The sequence below is a fragment of the Homo sapiens genome, chromosome 3 (genome assembly GCF_000001405.40).
Source record: "Homo sapiens chromosome 3, GRCh38.p14 Primary Assembly".
Taxonomy (NCBI): domain Eukaryota; kingdom Metazoa; phylum Chordata; class Mammalia; order Primates; family Hominidae; genus Homo; species Homo sapiens.
Window position 1 is genome coordinate 68,992,406 of NC_000003.12, and position 16,922 is coordinate 69,009,327.

Genomic DNA, 16,922 nt, shown 5'->3' on the forward strand with positions numbered 1-16,922 from the left:
CTTTAAAGCTCCAGAATGATCTCCTTTGACTCCAGGTCTCACATCCAGGTTACACTGAAGCATGAAGTGGGTTCCCACAGTCTTGGGCAGCTCTGCCCCTGTGGTTTTGCAGGGTACAGCCTCCCTTCTGGCTGCTTTCACGGGCTGGCATTGAGTGTCTGCGGCTCTTCCAGGTGCACAGTTCAAGCTGTCAGTGGATCTACCATTCTGGGGTCTGGAGGATGATGGCCCTCTTCTCACAGCTCCACTAGGCAGCACCCCACTAAGGACTCTGTTTGGGGGCTCCAACCCCACATTTCCCTTCCACACTGCCTTAGCAGAGGTTCTTCATGAGAGCCCCGCCCCTGCAGCAAACTTCTGCCAGGGCATCTAGGCATTTCCATACATCTTCTGAAATCTAGGTGGAGGTTCCCAAACCTCAATTCTTGACTTCTGTGCACCGCAGGCTCAACACCACATAGAAGCTGCCAAGGCTTGGGGCTTCCACCCTCTGAAGCCACAGCCTGAGCTGTACATTGGCTCCTTTCAGCCATGGCTGGAGCGGCTAGGACACAAGGCACCAAGTCCCTAGGCTGCATACAGCATGGGGACCCTGGGCTCAGCCCACAAAACCACTTCTTCCTCCTGGGTCTCCAGGCCTGTGATGGGAAGCGGCCGCCATGAAGGTTTCTGACATGCCTTGAAGACATTTTCCTCATGGTCTTGGGAAGTAACATTAGGCTCCTTGCTATTTATGCAAAGTTCTGCAGCTGACTTGAAATTCTCCCCAGAAAGTTGGTTTTTATTTTCTATTGCACAATCAGGCTGCAAATTTTCTGAACTTTGATGCTCTGTTTCCCTTTTAAAACTGAGTGTCTTTCACAGCACCCAAATCACCTTTTGAATACTTTCCTGCTTAGAAATTTCTTCTGCCAAATACCCTAAATCATCTCTCTCAAGTTCAAAGTTCCACAAATCTCTAGGGCACGGCAAAATGCTGCCACTCTCTTTGCTAAAACATAACAAGAGTCACCTTTGCTCCAGTTCCCAACAGGTTCCTCATCTCCATCTGAGACCACCTCAGCCTGAATTTTATTGTCCATATCACTATCAGCATTTTGGGCAAAGCTATTCAACAAGTCTCTAGGAAGTTGCAAACTTTCCCACATTTTCCTGTCGTCTTCTGAGCCCTTCAAACTGTTCCAATCGCTGCTTGCTACCCAGTTCCAAAGTCACCTCCACACTTTCAGGTATCTTTTCAGCAACACCCCACTCTACTGGTACCAATTTACTGTATGAGTCCGTTTTCAGTCTGCTGATAAAGATACACCCGAGACTGGGAAGAAAAAGAGGTTTAACTGGACTTACAGTTCCACATGGCTGGGGAGGCCTCAGAATCATAGTGGGAGGTAAAGGCACTTCTTACATGGTGGCAGCAAGGGAAAATGAGGAAGAAGCAAAAGTGGAAACCCTAGATAAACCCATCAGATCTCATGAGACTTACTCACTATCACAAGAATAACACAGGAAAGACTGGCCCCCAGGATTCAATTACCTCCCCCTGGGTCCCTCCCACAACATGTGGGAATTCTGGGAGATACAATTCAAGCTGAAATTTGGTGGGGACACAGCCAAACCATATCAAGGACCAATCTGGGTACCATAACGAGATCTTGTCTCTACAGAAAATAAATTTAAAAATTAGCCAGATGTCAAATCAGAAGACAGTAATATATATTATATATACGCACACACACATATGTTATGACTATATTGTCATAACACATATATAACACATATATGGAAAAGAATAGCCAGGTATGGTGGCATGCACATGTAGTCCTAGCTACTTGGGAGGCTGAGGCAGGAAGATCACCTGAGCCCAGGAGAGCAAGGCTGCAGTGAGCTAGGATCATATTCCTGGACTTTAGCCTGGGTGACATATTTGCACTTATTAAAATAAAGAGAGTCCTGCAAGGGACTCACACACGTTAAATGCAGTTACCCTTGGGGGAACAGGGAATTGGAGAGGAAGAAGGAGACTTTTTTAAAAACTTCACATACTTCTGTGTTGTTTGAACTCATTATAATCAGGTATTACTTTCATAATTAAAAAAGTAATCATGGCTGGACACGGTGGCTCACATCTGTAATCCCAGCACTTTGGGAGGCCAAGGCAGGCGGATCACCTATGGTCAGGAGTTCGAAACCAGCCTGGTCAACATGGTGAAACCCTGTCTCTACTAAAAATATAAAAATTAGCCAGGTGTGATAGCACACACTGTCATCCCAGATACTGGGGAGGCCGAGGCAGGAGAATCGCTTGAACCTGGGAAGCGGAAGTTGCAGTGAGGCAAGATCGCGACACTGCACTTGAGCCTGGGTGACAAGCAAGACTCTGTCTCAAAAACAAACAGAAAAAAAGTAATCATAAAGCTATACTACTTCTCAGCACAAGCAAATGTGGAAAGCCTGCCGTAATTTCTCCTTTTATTCATTCTGTTTGATAAGAGCAACCCTGCTGTGCCCAGAGAGGCATCTGAAGATGGGTCCCTCTATGCATGTTTGCAGGTTGGTGGCCTTGCCCATCCCACTGAAGATGCCACATGCTGAAGGGAGTAAACTGCAGAGCTTTTCAAGGAGGAGAGGGAAAGGCCCCATAGGCTTCCTTGTGATGACAGGTTGGAAAATATCACCAAGATGTGAACTGCAGTCACAGTTACCTCCCTGCTCTTCCCTGGGCAAACTGCTCATCCAAGACCATCAGGACTCTGGCAACACCATCCACCGGGAGGGATTCATGTCATAGTCAGCCTGCAGGTCACAGTGATGCTTAATTTAAGTCCTTACCAACAAAAGGGAAACAGCAGCCACACAAACCCTTACTTAGCGCCATCCCCATCCAACCTACCCTGTGGACCTGAATTCTGGAGCAATCTGGCAGAATTGCCTGTCCTGAGAACCTGGCTTAGTAAATGGCTTCTTTGACCAAGCGTCCGGGTTTAAAATGGATGCACATGGAGTGGCAAAGGAAGGAGGTAACACCAGGCGGCCACCCTGCTGGGCTACACCCATCCTGCTTAACTGTGCCAGAGCTGAGGTCAGACTGCCCTCATGTCTCATGCTCAGCTGACTGAGTAACCTGGGGTCTTCATGGTGGCCGTGCATCCTACTCCAGCAGCCACAGAGAAGGGGAGGGTTGTAGGAGCTGGCTCACTTACAGTGAGCTAATGTGACTAAGTTATACTAAGCCCATTTGAGGAAGATGTAGAAAAGCATGCAACAGGTACAAGGAAGCTTCTGGAAGCCATCTGATAAATTTCTGTCATCTGATAAAATTCTGTTTGGCAACTTAGGTAGAGTCCTCTTCAGAGGACTTTAAGAAGACGACAGAGCACTGTGGTGTCTGAGCACAGGTCTGGGGTCAGGCTGCCTGGATGGAAACTTTGGTTCTGCCCTCGCTGACAGCATTATCTTAGAACACTCACCTGCTGCTCAGGCCTCGGCCTCTTGTCTGTAAGATAAGCTAATGAAAACTCAAGTCCACGGGGGTCATAAGCATGAAATGAAGTAACATAATTTATGTTAATTACAAAATTTAAAAATAGTTTTGTTTAAAAACGGCAAAACAACCCTGAGTTAATAATTTAGGGCTTGTAATGGCTGGTGAGTGTGGCCTGACTTCACTGATACAAAAAGAAGAAAAGAAAGGGATTGTTGTTCCCTTTGCTCACAAAACATTTCGAAGAAATGAAACTGTGGTGGCAGCAAAACTGAAATACAAGAGGAAAATGTAAATGCATATAGACGGAAAATAAAGCATTAACACGCCAAGAATTATAGTCTCATCAGACTTCAAATCTAACTCAAAGTCTAGGGAGCAGTGATCCTGAAAACCTTTTTACACAGCTCTACTACAAGCCTCTTATCAGTGAAATTAAGGGTCGGCAAAACTGTCTCTCCTTCTGCATGAGAATTTGACCTCCTGTTAACTAGCTAAGTCGGCTCTCTGCAAATGAGGACAGCTTGTGTCAACAAGCCTAGGCAACAATGCTTCTGATCTAAAAAGATGCTTGATGGGTAAACTGCATCTGGACTGGGAAAGCCATGTTTCGGATTCCCTGAGTACGCTGACTCCTGGAACCAGGCATGTCTCTTTCAGGGATCCTGGGGACTTTGCCAACACAGCTGTGTCAGGAGATGTTGGCCCCTACAGGATATGAGGCTCCTAAGCCAAGGCATCGCCTGTACCTGCCCCAGGCGAATCTTGTCTCCTTGCACCTGAGCTGTGCTGTGTGAACTGCTAGCACTCCCTCTGGAAGAAACACCTGAGGCTGCCCTGCCAGCAAGCTGTGGTTCCCCTGCAATGTCATCCTGAATAGACTCACACCAAGAGCCGAGCATATGAGTGTCGTGAGTCAGAATGTTGAGTGGAACCTTATATGACCCCTTGGTGGGTGTTCCAACTTCCCAGTTTAGACAGCCTCTCTCATGTACACTACAAACCATTTATTCTCCTTATTGTAATTGTCACAGTTAACATTCAGAGCACAAGTACTGTGTACCAGGCATGGTGACTGTTCACACACTACACGGTTCATTCTCAAAATGACACCTAGGTAAATGTCATTATCTCACTATCTCATTTCAGAGCTGAAGATTCTGGGGCACATCTTGGGGTTTCCTCAGCAAGTGGAGGGGCCAGATATGGGAAGAAGCAGGGAAAAGGCAGGCAAAGAGAGAGAAGGAAAAAAAGATTGCACTAAAAACAAATAAATAGCAGGTGTCACTCAACACATGCATTTATGTGCATGCCTAAGACCTGCCCTTTACAGTGAGCTGAAACACACAGCATAATTCAGCACAAAGGACACAGTAACAAGGAAGCTGCTATTAAGCAAAGGCAGACAGTAAATGCAAAAGGCCAAACAGTAAACAGAGGCAAGCACTTCCAACATAGGTTACAGAGGTTGAGTGAATGACAGCCTTTTTTTTTTTTTTTGAGACAGAGTCTTGCTCTGTCACCCAGGTTGCAGTGCAGTGGCACGATCTCGGCTCAATGCAACCTCCACCTCCCAGGTTCAAGTGATTCTCCGACCACAGCCTCCTGAGTAGCTGGGACAACATGTGTCTGCCACCGTATCTGGCTAATTTTTGTATTTTTAGTAGAAACAAGATTTCACCATGTTGGCCAGGCTAGTCTCGAACTCCTGGCCTCAAATGATCCACCTGCCTCGGCCTCCCAAAGTGCTGTGATTATAGGCGTGAGCCACCACGCCCTGCTGAATGGCAGTCTTTCATATGTGTGTCCCAGAGGAACACTAAGCCAAAGTCACTGAATCTCTGGCCTTTGGAGCTCCACCCACCCAGAAAGAGAAAGAAACCTTCCCCACTGCCTCATTCTAAAATTCAAAGAATGAAGGTACACACATACATACCTATCTGCCTATACGTATATGCACATGTCAACACATATATGTACAGATACATTCGCACCCATCCGCATTATGTGCGGCTGTACATGTTGAAATATATGTGTCTTTGAAAATTCTGTTTCACAACATCAGAGTCACACACTGATACAAGGGAAAGACAGTACTGAAGCGGAGAGCACATTCTTACTTACGGTGTCCCACATCACGATGTACACGTCAGTACTGAATGAGTTATTAACGTGCTGAGTAATATAAAGATTGATGAAATCACAGAAGTGGTGATACATGTTAACACCTAGTGTTGGAAAATGAAACTACATTAATTAACACCAAAGAGCACATGATCAAGCAAGTTTTATTCTATCCCATCTATTTACAGTTTAAGAGAATTTTAGTTTAAATAAATGGGGAAAAAAATAACTGTTTTGTTTTTCCAAACATGAAATGATCTAGATACATAGGTAGTCCTCAATTTATGGACTGCCTGGGTTTCAAAAGTCACTCTAAAATTGGTTATTTAAAATCAGGAATGCATTTTCCCATATATCCCAAGTAACAAGTGATCATTAAGTTCCCAGAAAAAAACAAGGTAGGTCTATTTAACTCAAAACTGAGTAGAACTACAGGGCCATGAAGACAAACCATTATTTCTTCTGACTTTATTTATTTTTTTAATCAGGGGTGGGGTCTTGCTATGGTGGCATGTGCCACCATGCCTAGCTTGATCAGTTGTTTTTTAAAGTCAATTAAGGGGCCAGGCACAGTGGCTCACACCTGTAATCACAGCACTTTGGGAGGCTGAGGCAGGCCAATCACTTGAGACCAGGAGTTTGAGAACAGCCTGGCCAACATAGTGAAATCCCATCTCTACTAAAAATACAAAAATTAGGCAGGCGTGGTTAGCCACTCAGGAGGCTGAGGCAGGAGAATTTGCTTGAACCTGGGAGGTGGAGGCTGCAGTGAACCAAGATCACACCACTGCACTCCAGTCTGAGCAACAGAGTGAGACTCTGTCTAAAAAAAAAAAAAAAACCAGAAAAAAAAAAATCAATTAAGAAACATCTGTTCATCAGGGAAGTACTGGCAATGATGGCAACTAACATTTTGGTAATTTTCATTCCTGTCTCTTTTTTCCCTATTTAATCATTACATGTATCATTCCTGGAAAAACATTAACCAACTATCATATAAAAGAAGTGAATGTCTTGTGTTCTGATTGAAAGAGAAGCAATTCTGGAGAAAGAAGAAGTTGAATTCCAGCACAGCCAAGCATGCGCAACATTCTTAGATGAGTTTATAAAGTCCCTAAGCTTTAGCTTCTCTATAGAAATGGGAAATAGTTACCTAAGTGCCAGCTTTATTATGAGAAACCCAAAGATAATACATCTTAAAGTACCCATCCCAGTGCCAGGCACATAGGAAGACCTGAATGAAGACTAGCTGGATCCCACTAGGTCAGATAGAGTGGAGAGGGTTGTGGGAACTACTATTTGTAAGTTCACATGCCATTCATTAAAAAGAAACAGAATGTGCACCCTCTCCACTTAGGTATGCAGGACCCAATATTCATCCTGGAAATATACAAATCTAAATGGGATGAAATTCCAAGAACTGACACTTAGAGCATGCATTTTAAAGGTAGGAAAATGCTGAGTAAAAGAAAAACAGGGACTCTCAAATGCAGAAATCATAAAATATTCTGACTTCATTCCCACAGTGAATAATAACATTGTGTGCCAGAAATAACAGTATAAAAATACTCTGTTTTTTTCAGCCTCGTATCTTAGCTGATTGTTTGGAAGGGCTAATTTTTTCACCCAGAAAAATCTTGGCAAAGAATATATTTTCAAATTAACAAGAAAAATAAAGTTCTATCAGAATCTATCCTCTTTTCCCAGGTTAGCCATAGAGCACACATGAGCTCTTTCACGTAACATTTAGTGAGTTCCTAACAGTTACTGAGGAATGCAGCAAGCACAAATCAGTGCTTGGGGTTGCAAGAATTTATAAACAGAGAAGAAAACATAAGCTCCATCCTTGAGAAATGTGCCCCCTAATGAGTCCTGATCTGTAGAATGTTCATTTCCCTAAGGTACAAGTTAACATGAAAAGGAAAACTGAACCAGGCACAGTTACTCACACCTGTAATCCCAGAACTTTTGGAGGCCAAGGCAGGGGGATCACTTGAGCCCAGGAGTTCAAGACCAGTCTGAGCAATCCATGAGACCCCATCTCTACAAAACATATGTTAAAAATTAGCCAGGCATGGTGGTGCATATGCCTGTAGTCCCAGCTACTTGGCAGGCCAAGGTGGGAGAATCACTTGAGCCCAGGAAGTTGAGGCTGCAATGAGCTGTGATCATGCCACTGTACTCCAGCCTGGGCAACAGAGCAAGACCTGTCTCTAAAGAAAGAAAAGTAAAATTGGAAGACAGCATAAATTAGAAGAAAAAAGTAGAGTTATGAATATAGGAAAGAAATGAGACATGTCTACTCTAGCCTATTATTCTCACTTTATATACTTTATTGTATAAGTATCTGCATAAATTTAATAGCTCACACATATTTGCCACTTTTACAGACGGATCAGTGTTTTCTTTGCCCCTTTTTAATTTGCATGTTTTAAAAACGAGTCAAAACCTGGAACATAGCATTTTTACTCGCTTTTATTTCAAAAACCTAAACTTGTCTGATTTCTGAATTTAATACTTTGTAATATAAGAACTATGACTTCAGAAGGCAGAGCACATTAAAACTATGATCAATAAATTATACTAATTCTGAAATATTTGTGACAGAGGCTCTCTATATTTCACTGTAAACCCAACCTCTCATGAATTTTGATATGATCTAGCACAGTAATCCCTGTCTCTCATAATGAAAGAGATAATATAGTACAATCTGTGTTTCTCCTCCCCAGTGTAACTAGTTCGCAAAGTTAAAGCTCTGCTTGCAAGCTGAGAAAGAGGCTATAAGTATAAATGATAAAATAATTTTAATTTTATGTCAAGAATAAATTACACTGGTAACTTCCAGAAGAATTTTAAGTTCACTTTAGTCATGGAAATGATACAGAAAGTTTGTCAGCGCAGGTCATGGACACTTCTTTCCCACCCATACTATACACATGGCTTTTGATTTTTTTTTTTTTTTTTTAAGACGGAGTCTTGCTCTGTCACCAGGCTGGAGTGCAGCGGCACGATCTTGGCTCACTGCAACCTCTGCCTCCTGGGTTCAAGCGATTCCCCCGCTTCAACCTCCCGAGTAGCTGGGACTATAGGTGCCTGCCACCACGCCCAGCTAATTTTTTGTGTTTTTTTAGTAGAGACGAGGTTTCACCATGTTGGCCAGGATGGTCTCGATCTCCTGACCTCGTGATCTGCCTGCCTCGGCCTCCCACAGTGCTGGGATTACAGGTGTGAGCCACCGCGCCCGGCTTAGCTTTTGATTTTAAACATCTTAATGAAAGACAATCTAAACCAAGTGATTAGAGAAACCAGATGAGGTAAATTTAGTTACAAAAGGCATAAATATGCCTTCACCTCTCGTCCTTTGATTTTGGTTAAGTCCTTTGATATAAATGTGAAAGTTTCTTCTAAAATGCCCAAGTTATAAAATAATGGGAAGTTCAAATTAGTTCAACTACTTCTTCAGAGAAGAAAGCAAAAAAAACAAATCTACTGTTTGTCATACTGCTTCCAAAAAATTCAGAGAGAATTACTACATCCAAAAAAAGGAATAATATCTCATTAACAAATACACAAATAACAGAAAAAGTTATTTCTCACCTGCATCTAATTTCATGAAATATGTTGGTTTTTCAATGACAATGTCACATTTAGCATCTTCTATAGGTCTGAAGTTGAGCTGAGTATAGCTTTGTAGCTCAGCAAACCTGAAATTATGAATTGGGACATGACTTCAAACTGATTCTCCCAAACTTCCTATTAGAACACTGTAACTTAGGATCTGTTCATTAGGCAGATTTTACCTCTAAATGGTACAGACACTCCTATGGACACCTGTAACTTCTAAAACTTACTGACTTTTATATAGGTTGATATCAATTTTAATGTTAAGACAAGGAACAGACCGGGTGCAGTGGCTCAAACCTGTAATCCCAGCACTTTGGGAGGCAGAGGCAGTCAGATCACGAGGTCAGGAGATCAAGACCATCCTGGTCAACACGGTGAAACCCCATCTCTACTAAAAATACAAAAATTAGCTGGGCGTAGTGGCGAGCGCCTTTAGTCCCAGCCATTTTCAGGAGCCCGAAGCAGGAGAATCGCTTGAACCTGGGAGGCAGAGGTTGCAGTGAGCCGAGATGGTGCCAAAAGGAGCCGAGGCTTACAACAACCTGAGTGAGTTTAGCAGCAGATTCTCCAGGCCCAGGTTGAGTCTAGAGATGGCTACAGCCCTGGCCAACTCAGCCAAGCTGCTCCCAAACCCTGACCCTCAGAAGTACTGTGAGATAATAAATGTTTGTATTTTAAGCTGCTAAATTTTAGAGTCATTTGTTATACAACAATAGGTAATAAATATAAATATACCCTAGGGTACACTTTGGAATAGCCTGTCACACAGCAATAAGCAACTAATACAATTATGCCCTGAGCAACTACCATGTGGAATCAAATATCAGAAAGTACCAGGAATCAAAAAGCCCACTTGAATATAGAAACTACCTCTTGTAAAAGTCTGCTAAGTGACTTGAGACATTGCATTGCAGACTGCAAAATCCCAGATAAATGTGTGGTAGATCATTATTCTGAATGATCTGCAGCCAGGCAGTGAGGCCTCTTTAAGGACAAAAAAAAAAAAGGTTTGCTCAGCATGAATTTCTTTTTTTTTTTGAGACAGGGTCTTGATCCATCGCCCAGGCTGGAGTGCAGTGGTGCAATCATAGCTCACTGCAGCCTCGACCTCCTGAGCTCAAGCAGTCCTCCCGCCTCAGCCTCCCAAGTAGCTAGGATTACAGGGGCATGCCATCTCGCCCAGCTAATTTATTTTTATTTTTTATTTTTCTTTTTTAGAGATGAGGTCTCATCATGTTGCTCAGGCTGGTCTTGAACTCCTGGCTTCAAGTAATACTTCTGCCTTGGCCTCCCAAAGTGCTGTGATTATAGGCATGAGCCGCCATTCCTGGCCTTGGTATGGACATTTGACCTTACAAATTAACATTATGTAAGTAACCTATGTGACTATACAGGAGTAGCAGGAGAGTTTCTTTGGGATGATGGAACAATTCTGCATCCTGATTGTGGTGGTCGCCCTCCCCGTCCTCCTCCCCCTCTCTCTCCCTACCTACATACCCGCACCTACACAAGTGATAAAATTTTAATGAGTACAGGTAATTGCTGGTAAAACCTGCACAAGTTAATACTACTGTACCAATGTCAATTTCATGGTTGTGATCATTGTGCCATGGTTATATGAGATATTATCATTAGAGGAAGCTCAGGGAATTAGACAACGTACAAGTTCTCCTTGTAGTATGATATGGTTTGGCTGTGTCTCCACCCAGATCTCATCTTGAATTGTAGCTCCCATCATGGGAGGCACCCGGTGGGAGGTAACTGAATCATGGGGGTGGGTTTTTCCTGCGCTGTTCTCAAGATCTGATAGTTTTATAAAGGGCAGTTCCCTCTGCACACGCTCTCTTGTCTGCTGTCATGTAAGACGTGCCTTTGTTCCTCCTTTGCCTTCTACCATGATTGTGAGGCCTCCCCAGCCATGAGGAACCATGAGTCCATTAAACCTCTTTCCTTTGTAAGTTAGTCAGTCTTGGGTATAATACATACTATTTTTAAACTTCTATGAGTCTAAAATTATTTTAAAATACAAACTTTTTAAATTCAAAAAGCTGGCCAATGATGTTAACAGTCAGAGTAGCATCTACCTTTGGAGAGGGGGATGGGGGTAGAGCCTGGGAGGGAGACTGAGGTGCTGACAATGTTCTATTTTTGGACCTGGGTAAAAGTTACATGGGTGGGTTCACTTTTTCACAATCCAAACTGTACCTTTTTCTGTATGCTTTTACATACTTTAATATATGTGTATTGTTTTTTAAATGGGTTCCCCAAAACACATTTTTATTTTTTAGATTTGAGGTCTCATCATATTGCCCAGGCTGGCCTTGAACTCCTGGGCTCAAGTAATACTTCTACCTTGGCCTTCCAAAGTGCTGAGATTATAGGCATGAGCCACCATTCCTGGCCTTGGCATGGACGTTTGACCTCAAAAATTAACATTATGTAAGTAACCTATGTGACTTTGTAAGTGAATAAAACTTGGCAATTGTGAGTTAATAAAAATGGATTTTTAAGCTGATTTTTTTCTTTCATTAGCAAACAGTAAGTACTGTATCTACTATTATAAACACATACTTAATTCAGATGCAACTGAGGGATTCACTCGGTTTCCGTCACTTCCCAGAAGCTCATGCCAAATTATGTACAAATGAAGTAACATTTTCCATTTGAGAGTCTCCATTAATATCTGCAAGTGCCGTAAATAAAGGCAAATATTTCCGAAACAGATACGTTAAAAATATCTTACCATGACTGCAGAGGGCTTTTGCGCTGACCTTCAGACGTCAATGTACGGATGTCAAGTTTACAGTGCCCTCCAATTTCACCACTCTGGAAAAAGTCCTCCTTAAATCTGGTATATAACAAAACATTAAGTTAAGTTCAGAAAACGTCTTCATGACCCAAGCACGTGGGTTGTAACTAAAGTGGATTACCAATTTCCAAACTGAATTTTTTAAAAGAATTTAACTATTTACAATAGAAAATTTCAAGTGTATATGAAAGTAACAGAATCCTATCAGGACCCTAATGTATCCACAACCCAACTTTGCAATGCGATTAACTCATGGCCTGTCTGAGTCATCCATCCCCCCACCCATTCCCCAACCCCTCTGCCATATCATCAAAAACAAATTCAAGATATACCCCTTCAGCAAGGCTTGGTGGCTCACACCTATAATCCCAGCACTTTGGGAGGCTGAGGTGAGAGGATCACCTGAACTCAGGAGTTTGAGACCCGCCTGGGCAACGTTAGAAGACCCCATCTCTTCAAAAATTAAAAAATTAGCCAAGCCTGGCGGTGCGCTTCTGTATCCCAGCTACTTGAGAGGCTCAAGTGGGAGGATCACTTGGGTTTGGGAGGTCACAGCTGCACTGAGCCATGATTACACCGCTGCACTCCAGCCTGGGCAACAGAGCAAGACCCTGTCTCAAAAAAAAAAAAAAAAATCCCTGGATCTGAAAATATTTCAGAATTTATACTAGATGTTAACATTAACCACTAAAGTACCTGTCATGATTTCTCTTGATGTTTCTTAAATCAAGATAGAGATTGGTTGCTCTGCAGTACTGAAGATAACGGGAACACACCAGACTTGAGTCACTCTGAAGGTTGAGCAAAAGAAAAGAATGACTCTGAGTATTAACACAGCAAAGACTCATCCGGACTTGCTAGACACACTGACAGCACGGATACCCTCACATTCAAACCACACAACATGACAAGGAAAGCTCTCCAAAGACTGCATCTGCTGAAGGATATTTTCTCCTTCCCAGCAGACCCTGGCCAAGCATACTTTTGCCAGTTTCCCACTTTTAAGTTACCATGGAAAACTCCCCAACGATCTGTCACCTCAAATTTTAAAGCCAAGAGCTGTATATGTGGCTCAGTTCAGTCCCCTTTAAAAGAAAAAAAAAGTACCCAGATCCAGTACTACTACCCCCACAGCTATATGAAAAAGCAGCTTCCAAAAGCCAAAAGAAACAAGGAAAAATGCACATGTAAGAGACATTAAAAGCAGGGAGGGAAGTTTGCCAGTTTTAATAAGAGGTGCTTTCTGCAAACCGTAAAGCTTGTGGGAGCCTCTGTCTCAACAGCAACATGAGGGCAATATTTTCTAAATAATTGAAGAAAGGAGTCGAAGAGTCAGCTACCAGAGCCTGATTCTATTTCAACCAATCTGGGTTATGCTCAGAACTTCAAAAACTTTTATCTGCTCTGGGTTTTATTTATAGATTTAAATGCCATTTTAATTGTTTTTCCCAAAACTCCCAATGAACACAAAGTCTCAATCTTGACCTGCATGGTGTTTTGGAGTCTGTAGTTGGTAAAATATTGCAATGGACTGAATGTCCGTGTCTCTGCCAAATTCATATGTTGAAATTCTAACCCCCAATGTGATGATATTGTTTAGAAGCTACCCAGTCTATGGTATTTTGTTATAACAGCCCAAACAACTAAGACAAGGATCATACTCTGCTAGCACAAAGCAAATCAAGGTAAATCTTAATCAAAAGAACATTCTACAAGCCACCTTGAAAGAGGAGTGCAAGATAGGGGTTGTCATTATTATCTTGCCCTTTCCATGTGAACAGCTAGACTTGAGCCAAATGTGCAAGACAGAACAGAACTCTGTTAAAGACACCCTGCGGCCGTGCAGTTTAATGGCATGCCTCACATCCTGAGGCCTCATTCACCTTGCTAGAATGCTCAAAGCTCTATTACGTGACACCCTCCAATAGCTCTATAAAGTATATACTCAGTTTTTGAATGTGAGTAAATTAAAAAATTTTTTTAGTTCTCCAGTGTGGTTGGAGATCGGAGACCCCTGAGATGTCAGAGACTCAGGGTTCAGGATCATTGAACAGTGTACCTTAATCGTAAGTGCTTACAACTTCATCAACCTTTAAAAAATAATGCTGAGCCCTTGGCCGGGAACCAGGCCCTGCTGCACTGAGCATTTTTATCTGCAGAACCTCATTTCTTCCTTACCATATGCTACATAATGGGCATGGCTTTAAGGCAGAGGAAATTGAAACAAGGAAAGCCTAAGTACCTTGTCTAAGACTCAGGATCTGAATTGTAGTTGAGAGCCTGCTCTTGTATTTACTACCCCAAACCACCTCTTGACAACGTGTTTATCTGATCCACTGAGGTACGATATGGTATGGTTGAAAGTAAACTGGAAAAAAACCTGCATTTTAATCCTAGATGTGTAATTAATTTTAAAAGGTAGCTGTGCAGTCTTGGAGAAGTTGCTTAACTCCTCTGAGGACCCTGTTTTCCATACTGATAAAGTGGCATCAGTAGTATCTGCTATAACGCTTATAAGCATCAAACGAGATAACACACAGAAAAGCTTTCTGCAAACTGTAAAGCTCTGGGCAAATATAGAGCAGTATGGTGGTGTTATATCATCTGTCCCAAACTATCTGAGAATGAATTTGTAAAGACGCAGTTTATCAATTTCTCTTCATTAGCACATGTTTGGGGGAATGATTCTAAACCTAAAAATATTTCGACTGTCTTAAAATATGACTATCTGATAAATGTGGGATAAGGAGGACAGGGTTTCCAAAGGAAAGAAAACAACCTATTTGGGGAAGTTACATAAAATTCTATGCCAATAACTAAGTGAGAGTGAGGAATTCCTTTCATAGTGCCGTCTATCTTGTTTTTACATTACAAGCTAAATGATAAATATTAAAAATCAATAATAAGTAATAAAAATAAAATAGCTTAGTTGGGCACAGTGGCTCACGCCTGTAATCCCAGCACTTTGGGAGGCTGAGGTGGGTGGATCCCTTGAGGTCAGGAGTTCGCGATCAGCCTGGCAACATGGCGAAACCCCACCTTTACTAAAAATATAAAAATTAGCGGGGGGGGGTGGCACGCGCCTGTAATCCAAGCTACTCAGGAGGCTGAAGCAGGAGAATTCCTTGAACCTGGGAGGCAGAGGTTGCAGTGAGCTGGGATCGCGCCACTGCACTCCAGCCAGGGCAATAGACAGAAACTCCGTCTCAAAAATAAATAAAATTAAAATTAAATAAACAAGTTTATTTAGTAAGGAGCAAAATACCCACCGTTTCCTTAGGCTGACAGAGCACATGCATCTCCTCCAGCCTCTCTCTGGCATATCCAAAGTCAGCTTGTTTCCAAAATATGTCCTCAGCTGACTCAAGAGTGTCCGTCCTATTTGCAAATAAAAATATTCTGTGTTTTTTTCTTTTTACTTTTTTGGACCTTGAATTTTCATTCTAAAGGTTAAAATGCTAGAGGTTCCTTATTACTTTAATTTTGTTACAGTATATTATCATAGTTTTTCCAAAACTACGCCTCACTACATGAAGTTACGAAACTAAGTTATTCACAGAATTATTCCTTTATCATAAAATACATAACAGACATGTATGAAGTTATCACCTGAAACTGAAGCCAATGATGCATTCTTAATTACTATATTTTCTTTACCTCATTAACATTGCATGTATTGGAAGTACTAATTATACTTAATTCTCCCAGGAAGAATCAAGAAGAAACCATCCATTTATCTTCTTACTATACACTGGGGGAAAAAATTATCTATGGTCCTGGCTGTTTCTCCCTCTGGCAGAGGAAATGACAGATATTCCTATCCCAGTATGAAATAGTCAAGTTGAATTCATGACTGTGCAAGCAAATTAATATCTAAATGAATTACTATCTAAAACCAAAAGAATCTAGCTGGAAATTAGGGCATCAACATACACTGTATAGAAAGAGGAAGACTTGAAGAGGGTATTCCATATGGAAACTTACCATCCCATGTCGACATAGCTGCAAACTGGGTAACCAAACCTGAACTCTGGTTTGCAGGATTTCTCATAACCCCAGCAGTACTTTAGCTTCTCTAGGTGTTTCTAGAACATAAAACTTACATTGATTTCCCTTCTTCTGACATTTAGAGAAGACTCTTAGATTTTTCCATTAAGAAAACAAATCATTATAGAGCATTCACATTTACATTTATAATACGTATTCTTATAACAATAAATTTAAAACTTACAGTTAATTCTAAAAAGAGCAGTCTCAAGGTTCTTAACAATCCTCCTTACTCATCACCCCCACCATATCGGTCCCCTAACCGAAAGTCTGGGCTTTACCTAGACGCTCAAAGACCACTTGAATTTGAATTTCTTGAAGTAGCTTAAGAAACCACCTTTCTCAGTGAGCAAGCGGATTCTAAAATCAGTCCCTAAAAGACATATAAACTGGAATTTGTGCTACCAAAGGAATCACAGCTAAACTGAATCAATCAGCAACTTCACTTAGCAATCAAGATCAGCAGAGACCCCACAACACATGGACAACTCTGCCACCCTTGGGAACCACCCAGCTGCTGCTGGCCAAGGAGTTGAGAATGCTCTTCTGCAAGGCCCCAGGAGCAATGCTGGTCTGATTCCCAAGTCTGCTTTTCCATATGCTTCCTGTGCCAGCACCATGGGAAAGGAAGTGTCTCACAATGCCCAGCTTTGATCTCTGGGGCCCTGTGAGATGTCTTAATGGGCTCCTATTTGAGGCCTTTCCAACTCCTCTAAAACAGAAAGAAAGCCACAGTAACAGGCTTAATTATGTGGAGACAGAGGCTGAGGTGTTATTACTGAAATTAAGTGCTAACCGATCCTCTCATGTGCCGTTTAAGAAAGAAGAGGTGTGAAA

At 42.0% G+C, this 16,922-nt stretch overlaps 1 protein-coding gene across 22 annotated transcripts in view, besides 1 other annotated feature; it reads right to left on the reverse strand.

The window, feature by feature from the left end:
- The window catches only part of EOGT (EGF domain specific O-linked N-acetylglucosamine transferase), a 38,460-nt gene that overhangs the window by 17,181 nt on the left and 4,357 nt on the right, over positions 1–16,922 (reverse strand). For 17 of the 22 annotated variants that reach the window (XM_017006205.2, XM_047448003.1, XM_011533602.2 and 14 more), the window contains exons 5-10: positions 16,023–16,123; positions 15,308–15,416; positions 12,735–12,829; positions 11,973–12,077; positions 9,203–9,309; positions 5,606–5,709 (exon numbers count right to left, since the gene is read on the reverse strand). In XM_017006205.2, the coding sequence (XP_016861694.1) occupies positions 5,606–5,709; positions 9,203–9,309; positions 11,973–12,077; positions 12,735–12,829; positions 15,308–15,416; positions 16,023–16,123 (621 nt within the window). Of the gene's footprint in view, positions 1–1,198; positions 1,316–1,347; positions 1,371–5,605; positions 5,710–9,202; positions 9,310–11,972; positions 12,078–12,734; positions 12,830–15,307; positions 15,417–16,022; positions 16,124–16,922 lie in introns of those variants that run through there. The other 5 variants (XM_017006208.2, NR_103826.2, XM_017006207.2 and 2 more) reach the window with 5 other exon arrangements.
- Positions 16,533–16,827: a silencer, noted in NCBI's record as "tiled region #589; K562 Repressive non-DNase unmatched - State 15:Elon". NCBI's record gives its function as "represses a minimal TATA promoter and a strong SV40 promoter by Sharpr-MPRA in K562 cells {active_cell/tissue: K562}" and the evidence as "EXISTENCE:reporter gene assay evidence [ECO:0000049][PMID:27701403]".